The following is an 18,321-nucleotide window of genomic DNA, read 5'->3' as shown; positions in this document are numbered from 1 at the left end:
CTTAAAAGGAACCACCTTACGTCATTAGTGTTGCTTCATTTATTTCCTTTGCTTTTCAGCGAGGCGATCCTAAAGAGACGCCGAACCCAGTGACCATCTTTAGCACACGTGATTGTGCTCCTCCTTTTGAGGAACAGATGAGTGAAAATGACAGACTTCTGTATCATACTGCGTTGGCTCATAAGTGTTAACCATTAAAAGACAATATAACTGAGCTTTCCTAAAATAAACCATTTATTGAAAAAAGAACCTTTTTCTTAAATTTCAGTAATCAGCCTTTTGCATTACAAACCTGCAGCTTGCCAACAACAACAAAAAAGGTAAAGGTTTCACAGTCAGTGCACTCAACAAACAGGAGATTAAAAACAAGGTATGGGACGCCTGATAACACTACAACTTCTTTTGAACCTAGAAAGGTCAAAACACTACGCTGATGTCACGGTTCTCAGTCGCGCGAGACACGGAGGAGACAGAGGCGATGGTCCGTGTACAGTAGTAATGGCACTTAACATGCAGCTTCTTTAACCTCGTGGCCACCAGCCCTCCAGAGGGCCTTTTGCCACATCAGACAAACAGGAGCAGCAGGAGAAGTGACGCTTGTCACCTGTGCAGTCTTCAGTCTTGGAAGGTTAAAAAGGCTTATACTGCTTCTCAGCACAGTCTTTATGTAAATATTACATACAGTAGTGATTAAGAGAATTTTCCAAGTCCATATTCTACTAGGCTTCATTCTTCATCTGTGCAAACCTGTGAGGAAGCAGGAGAGAGCTGAGCTCTTGCAGAGCCAGGTGTGTGCTTGTGCATACGCGCAGTATGAGTCTTACGGGGAAGGCCCCATCCACTCATCCTGATGCTCCCAGCACTGTACTGGGCACAGAGGGCAAGGCTTAAGAAATGTAATGAACAATGGCAGAGGTAAGTTACTGCTCTAAAGTTAAGCCTGGGAACTGACTAATGAAAGCATTTTCTAAAACGCCTATATGCACTCTCAGGTCAATATAAATTGTTATGCACTTCATAACTAAGACATAAATTGTTATTTAATTACAAATCCCTAATGTCTCCATAGCTGATCCTGCTGCTTGCCCCTTACTCCCACTTACCAATAAGAGCATCACCCCACTCTTCTGCCCCTTCCTTTCCTTTCCCAGGGACTCTCTCCTGCAGGGCCCTTGCAAGGCTCTTTTCTCCAGGGCTCTGTTCTCATCCCCTTGTCCTCTGTGGACCCTCCCAGCAATACTTCTGTCTCCCACACCTGTGCCCTACCCAAAATCCCTCTTGAGTGCCAGCCCCAGGTATCCAAATGCCCATGTGAAATCTCCAAGCAGATGCTCCAAATGTACCCCAAGCTTCATCCACCAAAGAGGACCCACCACCTCCCGACCCACCCCTCACCCAGCTGCTTCTTTCCCTACCCTGGCAAATAGAGTCTGTGACCTGATGACACAAACCAGAAACCTGGGAGCCACTCTAGACTCCTCCCCTCACTCACCTTTCACATCCAATCAGGGGTCAGCCACGGCACTCTAACTCTTAAATGCCGCTGTTCACTCACCCGGAACGCCCTCTCCCAACCCCTTGGCTGTATCAGAACCTTCTCAATTCCTTTGCCTCTAGAGTGATCTTTCTAAAACTCTATGTCATCATTTATGTTTATAATAAAATGGAAACTCCTTCATGTTGCTCCTGGTTACTGTTCTAGCCTTATCTTCCTGCCCTTGTCCACATCCTGTGTTCACCAGGATCTACCTACACAGGGCTCTGTGACCATCCCACTCTCCCGGAAGGGTGAGCGTTTCCAAGTTTCTTTACTTTGTCTTCCATGCCCCCTCCCCCACTTCTGACCTGGCTGTGGCTCTTAAACAACTAAGGTACCTCATTCTAGAGAAAAAAGAACTGAGATTGGCTGACTTAATTAAATTCCTCTTCTGAGTAACCTTATATACCATTATCACAGCTCTCAGTATAATGATTAGTCATTACCGTCTTGACCCTCCAAGTAGACTATACACTCTCAAGAGTGGAAACTCTTTCATCCAGTCCCATCTAAAAGTCCATTTTACTGTCTCTGGTGTATCTTAAATGCACCATCAAAACAGATCAAGTGGAAGAACCTCAATGAACATTTTCCAAATGAAAAAACACATACAAAAATCCCTGGCATAATAATACATTTAGTTCCTTTCCACTTCAGATATAGCTACTTTAAAGTTTCAAAATTTCATTAACGTCTTGATGCAAAACAGAACTTAAACACTTAAACATGAAAAAGACTATCCAGTAATCTGCCAAACCTTGACAAACGAATGGTCGAGGAGCTGGCTGGCGGTCCATCTCATCTTTGGGTCACTCTCAAGGCAGTGAGAAAGGAAGTCCTTTCCTTCAGGGCTTAATCTTTCAGGGATTGGTGGCTTATGTCCCATCCCCACTTTATACATAATTTGAAAGTTGTGCTCATACTCATGCCAAGGCCTCTAAAAAAGATGTTTTTAAAAAATCAGATTTTAATATTACACAGCCACAAACAACGCAAATGTTCAGTCTGTTTTTAAGCATCTCATCATTAATATATATCAGGGGACAGCAAATTTTTACTGAAAGGGCCAAACAATATTTTAGGTTGACAGGCCATATGATCTCTATCACAACTATTCACTAATCTCATGGCAGCATGGTAGCAGCTATGGACAACACATAAATGAATATGACTGTTCCAACAAAACTTTATTTATAAAACAGGTGGCCAGCATAGTTTGCCTACTCCATTTGGGGTGCACTATTTAGTCCAACAGTATCTAGAAGCCATCATCATGCAACTAAAAAATATATAAAATGACATAAAAAAGTCTATAAAACCCAATTCTCTTATAGGGATGGTTAATATGCTACCTTATTGAAAAATAAAAATTGCATTAGTGCAAAGCTTATTTCATTATGATCCTATGAAAAATGAGATTCACAGGGGAAGGAACTAAGTGTGTATGGCATTCTAATTTCTAAACTATTGTTTCGTCATTGCCAATATGTATTCTTCAATATGAGAACCTGTTCTTTTATGTGTGGCTTTACTGGAATAACACAGATATCACAACTGCCTTTCTATTTTAATGCTAATAGAAATAATGCTAGCTAATATTTACTGAGCACTTATATGTGATCTGTTTCAGCAGCTGCAAGGCATAGCTACATTATAATTAACTGATTTCCTACTAGTAACTTAACACTAACTTTTAACTTAGAAATGAAGGTTTCTAACTTTTTTGCTATAATACTGTATGTGTACGGTAAGCTACCATGTGCAGTTCATGCGTGTCTTTTTACATTTGTATAACTGCTCATTAATATTATCATCATAAGATACATTTTCAGAAGCAGAAAACTTCTTGGTTTAAGTGCTATGCACATTTAAAATTTTGATAGAGATTGGAAATGTCTCCGGAGCAGCCCTACCACATGGAATTTCTGTCCAAAACATGTGTGTTTCTTTATATACTCTCTAAAAGATAGTATTCTCAATCTTTAAAAATGTCACTCAGCACTTCGGGAGGCTGAGGCAGGCGGATCATGAGGTCAGGAGTTCGAGACCAGCCTGGCCAACACAGTGAAACCCTGTCTCTACCAAAGTACAAAACTTAGCCAGGCATGGTGGCAGGTGCCTGTAATCCCAGCTACTTGGGAGGCTGAGGCAGAAGAATTGCTTGAACCCGGGAGGCGGAGGTTGCAGTGAGCCGAGATCATGCCACTTGCACTCCTGCCTGGCGACAGAGCGAGACTCCATCTCAAAAAAAAAAAAAAAAAAAAAAAAAGTCACTCATATGCTAAGTAAAAAAAAAAATGATTTCAATTTAAATATATAATTCTGGTTAATGAGGCTGTCATCTTTTCATGTTTTCTTTTGTTAACAGACAATCTTTTTAGAGCAGTTTTGGGTTTATAGAAAAATTAACTGGAAGGTACAGAGACTTCCCATATCCCCCTCCCTGTCCCACAGTTTCCTCTACTATGTGTAGTTCGCGTTAGTGTGCTCCATTTTTTAGAACTGATGAACCAATGTCAATGCACTACTGTTAACTGAAGTCCATAGTTTACATCAGGGTTCACTCTGTTGCACATTCTATGGGTTTGGACATACACATACTAACATGTATCTATCATCAGTGTATCCTACAGAGTAGGTTTACTCCCCTAAAAATTCTGTGTACTCCACTTACTCGTCTCTCTGTTCCCCCACGTCCCTGGCAACCACTCATCTTTCTACTGTCCCTGTGGTTTTGCCTCTTCCCCAATGTCGTTAAATGGAATCGCTCAGTGTGCAGGCTTTTTAGACTGGCATCTTTCATCACTTAGCCACATGCATTGAAGGTTCCTCCATGTCTTTCTGTGGCTCGACAGGGTGTTTCTTTTTATCTAAAGCTCAGTATACTCCTTTGTATGAATAATCTACTGAAGAACATGTTGGTTGCTTCCAAGTTTTGGTAATTATGAATAAAGCTGCTGTAAACATTCATGTGCGGGTTTTTGTGTGGACATGTTTCCAACTTAATGTTGCTTTTTGTAACTGCTTGCTTCCCTGTGTTTTAATTAGAGGTTTATGCTTCTTAAATTCACTCATAAGAGTTCTCTGTGGCAGATATCTTACAAATATTTGTTTCCTGGTTTGTCATTTGTCTTAATCTTTTGATGGATCAGATTTTTGTATCTAATATCGTTCGCTATTTAGTGTCCACAGTGTTTGTAATAAATAATCAATCCATAACTACTGTTCTGTTAATGCACAGTGCCCTTCTGAAGTTGCTCCGCCAGGTGTGGGGGCTCCGCTTACCTTGCCAGTCACCATCTCTATGACAACACACCCCAGACTCCAGATGTCGGCCGCACGCCCATGGCCCTCTCCTTTGGCACGAGTGATGACTTCAGGTGCCATGTATGCTTTAAAAGTCACAGATATGTTGAGAGTAATGGGTTATAAACACATCAACATGTATTAATAGAGCCAAGCAATAAATTAATATTGTACAATATTATCTTCCTGCATTAGGTAATGGGAAATATCAAAAATTTACAGACAGTTCAAGTCAACTTGTTGAACAAACTTTTTAGGTGACAAATTCTCTTTTAAAAGACTATTTTTGAATGTACACATTTTCAAATTAATTGTATTCACAATGAAAATAGAAAATTTAACCTGCAAAGGAGGAGGCAAAATTTCATGGCACTAAGTGATCAAAACGAATCATTACCATTTAATCATAGTGTTGTTTAGACAAGGTAGTGGACAGGCAGGCAGCCAACGAGACTGGTGTATGCTGAGTGATTCGGGGTAAGCCACATTACAGAGCACAAACAATGTCTACATTTTTTAAGTTTTAAGAAAAACAATGCAAACAACAAAAGAGTTGTTCTGGTGAGAAAAAGAGGCTTTCCTCTCTCCTGTAACCTAAAAGGAGTCATTTAATTCACCAATGTGACAGCTGCTCTTGCGTGGGAGCCCAAGTGTGTGAGGAAGTGGTCCTTCTCACGACTGAAAACCTTTACCTGCTCTCCCATCTCTACTGACAAACAAAGGTGAAGGGAACATGCAGGCCCCAAGCAGGCTGCATGAAGTCAGAGTGCAAAGAACAACCAGGCTGGTCCCTACCTGCTGTCCCCAGGGTGCTGTTCACTTCACCAGGCATGGTCTGGGCATTGTTTTTGAGCTTTACTGAACATCCAAAATCTCCCAGTTTGATTAATCCAGATGAGGTAAGGAAGATATTGGCACCTAAAAAGAAAAGAAGTAGTTGTTACGCAGCCTCTGAAACACAATGTGGGCAAGGTTACATGGTAATCTAAACGACCAGGAACTTCATTCACAAGCTAAACAATCGAAAGGCTTATGAAACTTGACTTACAAAGTGTAATCATAGGAAGATTTGTAAGCCTTATTCACAAATTTTAATAAAAAGCAACAAAATTTTAACACCAGTGCAGGTAGCCTTGACCAATAAATTCTGAACTGAAATACATGCATACATTCTAACATTAATAACCCACAGAGATACTTAAAAAGAAACTGCATACAAAACACAAGTGCTTGTTGTGGTGGCAGTCTGGAGAATGAGAGATGTGTACAATCAGCAGCGTCTGAAACAGGAAGCGACATGTAGATGAGAGCTGCACACGCACTGCAGTTCTTCAGAGTCCCAGCTGAGGCCCTTGCATTTATATGACGTGACTGAAAACTGTTCTGCAATTTTCAAATATTCCTACAAGCAACATATATGCTTAACTTGTAGTCTAGTTAGAATTTGGGAATACTGTTCATCTCTCAGGACAGCTTGGCCTTTTGCTCTAGGCTGCAAGATATTATTGCTCCAACTAAGTCACACATCTCTGGCATTGTGTTCTATGGTACCTCCTTCGAAAAGCAACAACACAGAGCCAATGGAGTTAGACAAGCAGCCATCTGATGAGCTGAGGTCAACAGCGAATCCTCATAACTCAGTGCTCCTAGAGTTGATGCTCCCCACAATTGACTACGAGGGGCAGCTTGATCTTCTCGAGCGACTGTACATCTGTACCTTCTTAGCCATGCTGAACTAGAAAGCATTGGATAAGACACCAGTGAGCTGACCTGCTTCAGATTCTAAGGGAGTCTCTTCCTGCCACGGAACAAACGTGCAAACACCATTTTGTGACAGTGGACAGAGACTGAGGATGGTGTCTGTGGCAGAACGACTAGAAATAGGCAGTGCTACGGCCTGGTACAGAGCCAGTTAAGCCAACATCAGGATGACCCCAGACACCAAAGCAAGGTAGCGGACAGGCAGGCAGCCAATGAGACCGGTGTATGCTGGGTGATTCAGGGTGAGCCACATTACAGAGCACGAACAATGCTTACACCCAGACCAAAGCAGACTGGTGTAATCCAAAATAACCTCCCACACTGGGTCTTGTCCCTGGTCAGAAGTCAGGTCGGTTCCTAAGTTAATGTGTTTAGGTTAGCCTCAGACTACAGGACAGAATGAAACTCTTCAGCCTAGGGCCAAATAGGCACAAAAATACTTCCCCATTTTAATTATCCTCAAGACTTGCAAATACAAAGGTCAGGGGCATGGCGTGGTTAAGGCAAATGCCACGGTGACCGTTCTGAGACAGAAGCCCAGCTATTCCCCTCGTGCTATGAGAAGAGCACTTTTAATCCATCAGCATGGCCAAAATAACCTTCAGCAGAACTCAATTTCAAGGTTTGTGTAAACAAACCCCATTCTTGTCTCAAAAACGTAGCCTCAAATTTATATGTGCACTTCTGATCTGATTTACTGTCGGTTTACATATTCATGATTTTCATATATAAATAGACAAGAATCCTGACACGAGAGAAAAAAAAGGTTGCTTTGATCACGAATGTCTGGTAAGTACACGGGCTATGCCAAATCAGCTTATAAAAATAGCAAACTTCATTTTGGGAAAACAGATTTCTCTAAAAGCAGTGTTGAACAGAAAGAGCGGACTCCTGGGTAGAGAGACATGAGTTCTACCTTGTTTCTGAATACAGGATCCTTATAGAGGCGTATTTCAATGAAAGGTATTTCCATCTAGAGAAATCATATGTGGGAATGGGATGAGCGTCTTCAGAGCACCTCCCACGGGCTGGGTACCAGTGGCTCTGGCCCACAGCAGCCAGGCGGGTGTGGGATTACCTTTAATGTCACGGTGGACTATGCCATGCTCATGGAGGACGTTGATCGCAATGGTGATCTGCTTTGAATACAGCCTAATCACATGTTCCTGAAGTCCCAGCCTTGACACCTCTTCTAAAGTCCCCTCATCGCAGTACTCCATGAAGATGTACATTTCTTCCTGTGGGAGGAATAAAGGGCAGCTCTGTGTTTACGGTTTTCCTTAGATGTACGCTAGTGAAAAATCTGGAAAACTTCCTAGGCCACACCCCAAAGGAATGTTCTTTCTAACGGTATACTACACTTGCCATCCTGAGCACTGAATGTGTCTCACAACAGTCGTTTCTAAGTCCTCTATAGAGGTGTCTGCCTGCCTCCTCTGTCTGGAATTATACAGCTCTTGGGGATAAGAACATCTCCAAATCACAGGGGATCAATTTCTATTATCCTCTGAAATTAAGTCTGCTATATAATCTCAGACAGGGACCAACAGGGCTGTCCCTACAAATACATTATTAAGTACTGAAACACATCCTTTTTAAACATAATTTGTAAAAACATTAAAAATGATCCATTTCCAACTTCCCCTGGAAGCTCATGCTCTACACCACGATGCTCCAAGTTATCCTCTTTCCCTCGACGTGTTTATTTCTAAACACAAGGAGGAAACTCAATTTGAGGTTTGAATTTTCTCTCATTTCACAATGGCTCCCTAAATACATACAAGAAAAAAACCAGTATTACTTAACAGTGTACTCAACAGTGGTTCAGCAAAAAAACGGAAAAAAAGTCACAAGAAGTGGTGTAAGGGGCGTTTTAGAAGAATCTTCTGAATGGCAGGATGGGTTTCAGTGCTTTATGATGTCGGGTTAATGACTACAGTCTACAACTTACATTTTAGGAGGAACTCCTCTAGTTTCAGAGAGAAGGCAGAAATGATGTAACTCATGGAGATTTCCTGAGAATTAGGCAAAGTTACTGTGCTCTGAAATGAGAAGACCTGTGATGTAGAACAGGACTCCATTCTGTGCCCTCACTGATTCCTCACACAAAGAGTGGCATTAGGGTCGGCTTACTCTATGGAGCTCCACACCAAAATACCGAACCAGATTGGGGTGTTTGATGCCTTCGAATATTTTCAATTCGTCTGCAGTTTCCTTGATAGTCTTATGGTCATTAGGTTGAAATCGAATCTGTAAAGTGAGGTGACAAAAATGTTAACTGGCTTGATTTAATCACTCTACATTATACACATACACTGAAACATCATTTTGCACCCCATAAATATATGTAATCATGATTTGTCAATTAAAAACAACAAAAAATTAAGTAAAAAGGAAGTTTTTAGCCAAGCTAGAGTGAAGTCATAGAAGTGCGGGTAGGTCCCGGGCACAGAGGAGGAAGAGGCCCTGCTCCGAGAGGGAGTGAGGAGCGCCATGTGGAGGAGGACGCGGCTCCACGGCAAGTGCAAGACGCTGGAGCCTCCCCTCTCCACTCCTCTCCTCCTTCCACGTCAAACCGGATGTCTCCACAGACAGCAGTGAGTCCTGTTTCTACTTCAGGTTCCCTGGCCCTTTCCCCATCCTACCTCCAGCGGTTTCAATGCCACTTGTTTCTGAAGCTTATCATAAATGTTATCTTCTCCCCCAATGTGTCCCCATAAGACACTACTGTTAATCCTCTCCTCTAAGCCTTCATCAGACTCAGCTCTGCCACCCTCATAGGCCCTTCTCACACCTGTGCTGTTAGAACTGTCTGTGACTTATTATCCTCTCTGGAATCGTAAGCCCCTTCACTGTCTGTGTGTGTTATCTCAGTGCATCTGCCTGGTTGGTCCTGACTGTCGCAGTGCTGGTGCTGAAGACAGCTCTACGCACAGAGAACTGAATCACGACCAGCGTCTATACGGAATTTCTATCACCCAGAGCCGCCAGGCCCAAAGGCCCCACGGAGCCAGGTGACTCACCTCTTTCATGGCCATCAGCTCCCCGGTGTCGACGCTGATGCAGGTGTACACCTTCCCATACTGGCCTTCTCCTGTGAACAATGCAAACAAGCTGCACTTCCAGCCACTGCAGGGGGCTGTCTTACATTCCTTAAACTTGTAATAATACTGTCCAATTATTTTGGACGTATATTTATATATCTATAATTATGTTTACTGCAGTTTACTATTGCAAGATCCAAAATTTTTCTAAATGTTCCCTGATAACTAAAGTTTTAGGCAATCTCTTTAATATGTCTTACCTACAAGTATCTTTAAATAGAGCAGAACCGACTTTGGTAAATTCCAGGAGAAGCATGAAAATGACCAATAAAAGCAGCCTTGGTGCACACCTCTGAGCCCTCACACCCCTCAAGGAGATCTTGGCTGGGGCTGGGAGCAGCAGAAAACAGCCAGGACTAAGCCTGACCATTGTCTTCCTCACTGGCACATGTCCAGGAGTGTGTGGGAGCAAACATTCCCCTAACATACCTTCTGGGACATTAAAGCAAGAGGATATGTGCCTGGACAAGACTGATAACAATAATTAATCCAATTTATAAAGTACTTGATTGTTTTCAGTGGTTTTTGCCCTCCTTGATAGCTCCAAGGAAACATCAGGTTTCCTCAGGCTGACAAAGTCCCATATTATTCATACAACTGTGTTCGCCCCCTTCAGACCTAGATGTGTGACAGATAAATATATTTAAGTGGGGAAAGGATCTGAAACACAAGACTTCTTCCCTCACATAATTTACGACTATTTTACATGAAGCAATTCCACCTGGAAATTAATTAATGAGGCAATGTTTTAGAAAAGAAGACTGTCTTGCCCTCATTTGTATCCAGTCTCTCTTCAAATCACGTTCTGCGTGTGTGTGTGTGTGTGTGTGTGTGTGTGCGCGCGCGTGTGTAGAGAGAGAGAGAGAAACTAGAACAAATGGGTCAAATTTTGGTACCTCTCCACTGGCAAATTCCAGGGTTATTAAGCAAAAGAATCCAATGCAATGAATCATTTAGAAATCTCTTTCTCATTCTAAAATCTCATTTTGTATTGCTCTTAGAATACATTTTACAAATTAAACAACCAAAAAAAATCCAGACCACTTTGCAAAAAGATAACAATGCATACTTGCTATGTCTACAAGAAAAAAGGGCCAACTCTATAGGATTCAACCTAAAGAAGTATAACTATTGCTACTTCTAACAGGGACTATCTTGACATCATGCTCCTTAATTTCCTTACCAATTTTGTTTCCTCTTTGCCATTTGAAGGTCACCTTCCTCAAGCCAACGTGCATAACATTATCATAGGACTTAGGCGTATCACAAACTTGACCAATGATATTCTTTCTCCTCATTTCTCGGTACCTCTTTTCTTCAAACAATCGGACTGACTTCTGGATAGCTTCTATGGGTCCTAGTTTAGAAGCAGTATCTGCAGAGAGAACCAAAACCTCATTAGTCCCAATCACTGTTATCAAGTCAGTTTCCAAAAGACAAACCAATAAAAATAGAGCAATATATATTAGCACTCCATTACAGCAAAGCTTATTATCTATTCAGATAAACAGCAGGTGAATTAAAGTTCTTCAAACGCTACTCATTCCAGCATATGCCACCCCTTATACAGTACACACATAAAATATAAGCTAGTCACACAAAAATGATTTCCTTTCCCAAGAACGTTGGCTAAAATCTTGCAGTAATATACATGTCTCTAGTTTCTCCTCTCTCCATTCCACACTCTTGTTTGCCATATTATTAAAACATAAAATGTGATCATGTTACTGTCCTACATAAATTTAATTCACGAGGCCTGGAGCAGTGACTCATTCTTGTAATCCCAGCACTTTGGGAGGTGAGGTGGGCAGATCACTTGAGCCTAGGAGTTCAAGACCAGACTGGGCAAAATGGCAAAACCCCATCTCTACAAAAAAATACAAAAGTTAGCCAGGTGTGGTGGTGTGTGCCTGTAGTCCCAGCTACTTGGGAGGCTGAGGTGGGAGGATCCCTTGTGCCCGGGAGGTAGAGGTTGCAGTGAGTCAAGATTGCACCACTGCACTCCAGCATGGGTGACAGAGTAAGACCAGGTCTCAAAAAAAAAAAAAAACAAAAAACCAAAAAACTTAGTTCATGGTTCTCCACTACCTACTAACCAAATATCCAAACCCCTGCAGAATTTGGACCCAGTTTGTCTTTTCTATGTTTTCACACTAGCCAAACTGAAAGACTCTTACAGAACACACCAAACTACTTTACTTTTCACTTCCATTACTTTTACACCTTTCCCTCTGCCTAAAGTATCTTCTTCATACCTGAGTATCTGTTGAGTGAATCTTACTCACACAGTGCAGCTGAAATGCCACGCCTCTTCTAGGAAGCCATCTCTGATGAGAAGGATTTTCCCTTCTCTGGGAAGAGTACAGAAAAAGGGCTCTAGAATCAAAATGCCTGGGATAAAATGCTGGCCTCGCCATTTTCTAGGTGTTTGACAATGGGCAAGGTAATTAACTTCCTCACACATTAAAAACCTAATCTGTAAAATAAAGATAAAAATACCTATCTCACAGACCTACTGTGAGGATTTCATGAAATAATACCTGTAAAGCATTTAGCCCAGAGGCTAGAACACAGTAAAACTCAATAAATATTAGCTATTGCCATTATTCCTCATTTTCCCACAGGCAATTTATCTCTATTTCTCCAACTTGTTTTATCATGACTCATACTAAGAAATACCTTTCACACATTTAACAGTTCTGTGAGCTATTACCCTTACTACATGTGATTCTGATTTCATCCTGTTCTTTTTTAAAAAATGTTGATCACTCCTACTAAAATTTTACAACCCACTAATGGTTCACAACCCATAAATTGACAACCATGGTTTGTCCACTTCTCTATGACAACACTTTTCATACCATATCCTAATTAGCTACCCAAGAGCCTATGTTTTCTGGCTCAGATGAAGAGATCCTTGAAGGCTGGGATGACTCTAAGGTTAATCTGAAAAGAGAAATTCTAAAAGATTTATAATGGTCCAGTTATAATTTCTTATTACACTCATTTATTTAAAATACGGATCCAAGTTTGTTTCCTTTACCTCAATATACAACACTGCAAATCTACCCAGCACAGGGCAAGATTTTGACAGCAGTGAGGCCATGGGCTCCACTGACAAATATTTCTGAGAAACGCTTAAAAAAAAATTTCTCAAGATTCCTTTTTTTTTTTTTTTTGAGATGGAGTCTCCCTCTGTCACCAGGCTGGAGTACAGGGGCACGATCTTGGTTCACTGCAACCTCCGCCTCCTGGGTTTAAGAGATTCTTCTGCCTCGGCCTCCCAAGTAGCTGGGACTACAGGCGCGCACCACCACGTCCAGTTAATTTTGTATTCTCAGTAAAGACAGGGTTTCACCACATTGGCCAGGATGGTTTCGACCTCTTGACCTCGTGATCCACCTGCCTTGGCCTCCCAAAGTGCTGGGATTACAGGTGTGAGCCACTGTGCCTGCTTTTTTTTTTTTTTTTTTGGAAACGGAGTTTTGCTCTTGTTGCCCAGGCTAGAGTGTGATGGCGCGATCTCAGCCCACCGCAACCTCTGCCTCCTGGGTTCAAGCAATTCTTCTGCCTCAGCCTCCTGAGTAGCCGGGATTACAGGTATGTGCCATCTTGCCTGGCTAATTTTGTATTTTTAGTAGAGATGGGGTTTCTCCATGTTGGTCAGGCTGGTCTTGAACTCCTGACCTCAGGTGATCCTCCTGCCTCGGCCTTCCAAAGTGCTGGGATTACAGGCGTGAACCACCGTGCCCAGCCCTTGGTCTTTAATATGTCAATGTGAACTGTAACTCTCACAAGAGAAACATAATTCCAAGTGGTTCCCAAGTTTACTTGACCACAAAGTACTTGATTTGAAAAATATGGCAAAGACCTGGTATCCGTGGGAACTGCTGATTACATGTGAGCCACTGAAGAAACTGTCTTCCTGTCACCTGGCTCAAGCCTAGGAAAACTCCCCCACTTGAACCCTCAACACACACCTACTCTGTCACCAGGCTTGTCAGTGGTTGCACCAAAGTTGTTTCTTGCTGCCATTACCTCTTTTAAATCCCACATTAGTCCAGTATCGTATTATTTATACTGAATTTCTGCAATGGCATTTTAACCAATCTGCCCACTTTCTCCTCAATTCTGGCTAGCAGACTATACTATCTCAGCGTCTTACTCATCCCCAGCCTCCCACATCCCAAACACACCAGCTGCTCAAGAGCCTCTGGGGCTGCCCACCACCTCTGGGCAAAGCCTTCATTACTTAGGCAGTCACTGATGGCTGTCCATGATCTGATCTCCCCTCACTCTCCAGTTTCTCCTGCATTGGCATCTGCGCCCAGTGGCTCTCCCCTGTAGTCACGAGGCCTCTGGGTGCACACTTCCTTCTATTCCTTGCCTCCTGGCTTGCTGCAGACCTGCCATCCCTTCAAAGGGCCAGCCCAGTCTCCTCCCTCCACAAAATCCTTCCAGACATCTCTAGGCCTTGGAAGACAAATACTCTTCTGGTCAGTCACACAAAGTTCAAAGGGAAGCTGCCATGGAGTGCGCTAGACTTGAGACAAGTGCCTTCTGGTCCTCACCCTCTCATTTACTACCTTGGCCAAATTATTGGGCTGCTTAGAAACTATCATTTATAAAAAGAGAACATCTATTTTGCCTACTGCTCAATATTGTTGAGCAAAAAAAGACATGAAAGCATTTTATAGATCATTAAATACTAGACCAATGATTTTTCTGCTATTTGTTCTTTTGATAATATTAATCACATGCTTCGTAAGTTCTTTCCCTCAATGTCTAATTTATGAATGGTTATTTCACAAATGTTTATTATACTCCTACCATGGACAAAAAATTATGCTAAGTTGCTTTAAGAATATAAAGATGAGTAAAACATATTATAGACCCAAAGGAGCATGTAGTTTGTTACTAGAAATAGGAAATGTACACAAACACAGTACATGATAGAAAGTGATGTCAGAGCTGTGAGATCACAAAATAGTAATGGAGGAGGCCTAATAATTCAGAAGCTAAATCAAGTTTTACCTGAAACTGCTCCCCTTATGTGTAATCGTGTTTTTTTTTTTTTTTTTTTTTTAACTTCAACACTCTTTCTCTCACCTTTACTCTGGCTGATTAGTGTCCGAAGTTCCCAACTTCTTCTTGTGGACCCACTTGAATCTCCTCTTGGATATGCTGGTTCTGCAGGAAGTTATTTTTATACAAATTAAGATTTATGAAATAAATATGCTTATTTGAGAACAACTGAAAGGAAAGGTAATGGTTAAAAGCAACCTGTTTGCCTTTCTGGTTATTAATTTTTAGTGTGTTTGATGTAGGTGTGAGAAACTATCTTTGCAATCAATTCTAAAAATTGCACCAACTAAGAAGTTAATGGGGTTACAGGATTTTAACTACACTCATCTTTTCACGAGTAACAGACAACAGAATACTGTGCAAAAAGTGGATTCCTTAGGGACTTCATTCAAGATGTTAGCTTCAGGAGCCCCAGCCCTACTCCAATGGAAGCAGCAATGTGGTTCCTGAGGGCTGCATTATAAATAAAACTTTCACATACGATCAACAAACACAGTGTCACTTTTGTATTTTTTAAATGAATAAAAGTATTCAACAGTTAAAATATCTAGAATAATAATATTTTTAAAGCAACAAAAGTAGACCTATAAAATGCTAACAGGGCTAAAAAGGCATCTGTATTAAAAGGCCAATGTGCTCAGCAGTAAGTCTTCTCATAAAGCTCTGTGCTTCTTACTCTTCATTCCTTTAGAAAGGACCAAAAAAAGGAATCTTCAAGGAATCCTCATAAAGGCATTAACAACAGAAACTGGTGAACTGAGACAAATGATTAGACTGGTTGTGAATGCAGCTAACACCTTAAAACACTCACCATCTCGCTCCTCCGTGGGGCTTGAGTGACGACTCAGGGACCTAAACTGCAATTCAGCAGCTATGGAAGCCAATCGATCATTTTCAGGAACGCTGGAACCCCTGTTTTAATATTTTTAATAATTGAGCTATCAATTCAATAGAACTTAAAATGAAAGATCTGCGAGATTTTTCTAGAGCAATAATTCTCAACTGGGGGCAACTCTGCCTGCCAGGAACAACTCTGCCTCCAGCAATGTATTAGACACTTTTGGGAGGGTGCTACTGGCATCTAGTGGGCAGCGGAAAACGCACAGGACAGACCCACCAGAATCAGCCCCCTAAGTGAACAGCGCTGCTGTGGAGACCGTCCTCTGGAGTCTGTTAGAGCTCTAGAGTCTGGAAGGAGGGCTCCATTTTCATCTCTCCATAGCCAACACCCGAGCCTGAGAGCACCTGCCTGCATAAAACCTTGTCTTATATTAACAACAGAAATAAAAACACAACACTATTGAAATGTTACTGACATGTGAAAAGCTCCATAACTTAAGCCCAGGGTGAATAAAACTGTTATTAACCAAATCTTGCTGATCTTTAAAGTTACCATCAAATTATATTTATGTACTTAATTACATTTAAAGTACTAAAATCATTTCATGGTCCAAAAGATTCCAAATCTCTCAGTAAGAAAATGGAAGGGAATACCTAAAGGTTTCTCAAGCAGTAGCCAAGCAAAAGTGCAAAAGAGCAGGAAGCTTAATATATTAAAGAACAAAGTTAATGAGGTGCTTTTCCAGAATAAAGTGAAATGTTCAGCAACCAGAATGAACCCATAAAGAGTAAAAATTAAAACTAAATAGGGAATGTGTTAAAATTGTAATTCGAATAATCAAAGAACCTCAAATAAATATGGCATTAGTTTATTAAAGTCATTTAGTATATATTTTTAAGTGAATGGTATAATGAAGTATGGTAGCATTTATGCTCTTATTATACATTGATAGGTTGAAGGCAACATGATCTATTGCACAGACATTTACAAATTATAAAATATGCATTTTTTTCTGGTATTTCCCTAAGCCCTCAAATCTAGTATAGCACTTGTTAAGTCTGAAGTGATGGGGACATTTCTACTGCCATATAGTTCATAAAAAATTCGGCACTATCTGACGGGAAAACCACTGGTGTTGAAGTGAGGAAGCCTACTCCACTCCTAAGCAGCAACAAAGACCACTGGTGAGACCAAGAAGTCACTAAACACCTCTAATTTTTCCGATTTCCCACAAGTGAGACTAGCCAATTCCATGTCCTTAAGAGATTTTTGCACGGGTAAAAAGCAAGAACATATACTCATGAAGTGGCATATTGGGGAATGTTGAACGACTAGCTCTGGTGGGGGATGTCGGGGATGGGGAGGTGGGTTGTAGAGTTTGCCAATTTCTGTGGTATAACAACTTGCAAAATTTCTCAAACATTCGCCATCAGCTCTTGAGAGCCAGCAGGAGCAAGCCTCAGCAAGAGCACCACTGCAAAGTGTTTTTACAAACGATGATAAGATAACTTAAGCCCAGAACAGATATTTCCTAGGTCAAGTAAAATCAATTAAAAATACTTATTGAAACCTCTAGGGTCAAGTGAAGTTGAACTTTGATGTATCTGTAAGACGGGCAAGGGCTACACCCCATGGCTGTGGCAGGGATGCACACACTGGTGTCATTCTGCCTCCCCGTGGCACATTCACAAACCCACAGCTGTGTTGAGACACAAGCCCTTGGGTATGTGAAGTCTGCCTCGGGAGCAGTGGGCCGAATCCACCAGTGACTCACGGGCCCATGAACCAGGCTCACTGTGAAGGCACTGAGGCTTACGCAGGGCTTGAATGCAGGAGGGAGTCTGGTAACCACCCCACACCTCTTCACGTGGCTGTGCTCTTCTCTACCTACCATCTCACACACACAGACGGTCATAAAGTAAACGGGAATCCTGAGTAAAAAATGTCCTTCAAGATACCATGCTATGATACTATTAAAATTTCTAAACATCAACGATTGTCTAAGTATGTACAAACTTAAGATGAATACTTATGAAATGCTACTGATAAGCGTTTAAGATGAAATGCTGAAAAACTGCTTCTGCAAAGACTAAACTCCATGAAAAGGGTAACTGTAGTATTTAACTCTTATACTAAAATACACATAATGTACCACACCACCAACTTACAAATGCCTTAAAACACAGTGCATCAACCTTTAAAAAGAGGGAGGTCACTCCCTATTGTCCAGTTCGGGAGCAGTCTCATGTGAACATGGACACAGCAGGTGTGGGATGCAGGGGGCACAGGGTGGCCAATGCCCTCCTCAATTATGACTGTGTTTTAGGCCAAATCACTTCTCTTCAGTCTGTACTGTATGAATAAAGAAGACAGTTTTGGCAGCCCTCACAGGGATATAAAAGCATATATGAAGATATTTGCCATGAAAAGCTCTAAACGTAAAAACTAGGAAGCTAAATGGGAATTTGTTCAATGTTGTTAATTTTTTTAGTTGACTGCTTAAGCTGTAAAATGCTTTGGTACTTTTTAGGTTATAGACATTTCTCACTAAAATTTAGAAGTATTAATTATTTTAATGAGTGAAATGACTGCAAATATTTGTAGAAATTTTAGACTGTTACTAAAGTAAGTGTAAAAACATTTTAGTCTGTTTTAAAATCTAAAGCCAGGCATCATCTTCCTGTTAA

General features: G+C 41.3%; 1 protein-coding gene across 7 annotated transcripts in view, besides 1 other annotated feature; it reads right to left on the bottom strand.

The window, feature by feature from the left end:
- Positions 1–216: 216 nt before the first annotated feature.
- MAP3K4 (mitogen-activated protein kinase kinase kinase 4) overlaps positions 217–18,321 on the bottom strand; it is a 125,612-nt gene continuing 107,507 nt past the window's right edge. For 5 of the 7 annotated variants that reach the window (NM_001291958.2, NM_005922.4, NM_006724.4 and 2 more), the window contains 10 exons: positions 15,605–15,705; positions 14,818–14,898; positions 10,892–11,083; positions 9,628–9,698; positions 8,738–8,854; positions 7,683–7,842; positions 5,639–5,761; positions 4,823–4,929; positions 2,295–2,474; positions 217–747 (listed from right to left, as the gene is read on the bottom strand). In NM_001291958.2, the coding sequence (NP_001278887.1) occupies positions 727–747; positions 2,295–2,474; positions 4,823–4,929; positions 5,639–5,761; positions 7,683–7,842; positions 8,738–8,854; positions 9,628–9,698; positions 10,892–11,083; positions 14,818–14,898; positions 15,605–15,705 (1,153 nt within the window). In that variant the 3' untranslated portion in view covers positions 217–726. The other 2 variants (NR_120425.2, XM_047418783.1) reach the window with 2 other exon arrangements.
- Positions 2,019–2,088: an enhancer, noted in NCBI's record as "active region_25411". NCBI's record gives its function as "activates an Ori minimal core promoter by ATAC-STARR-seq in GM12878 lymphoblastoid cells {active_cell/tissue: GM12878}" and the evidence as "EXISTENCE:reporter gene assay evidence [ECO:0000049][PMID:35858748]".

Source organism: Homo sapiens, chromosome 6 (genome assembly GCF_000001405.40).
Source record: "Homo sapiens chromosome 6, GRCh38.p14 Primary Assembly".
In the NCBI taxonomy this organism is placed as follows: domain Eukaryota; kingdom Metazoa; phylum Chordata; class Mammalia; order Primates; family Hominidae; genus Homo; species Homo sapiens.
Note: the sequence above shows the minus strand (reverse complement) of the source record. Positions and strands in the feature narration are given on the sequence as shown.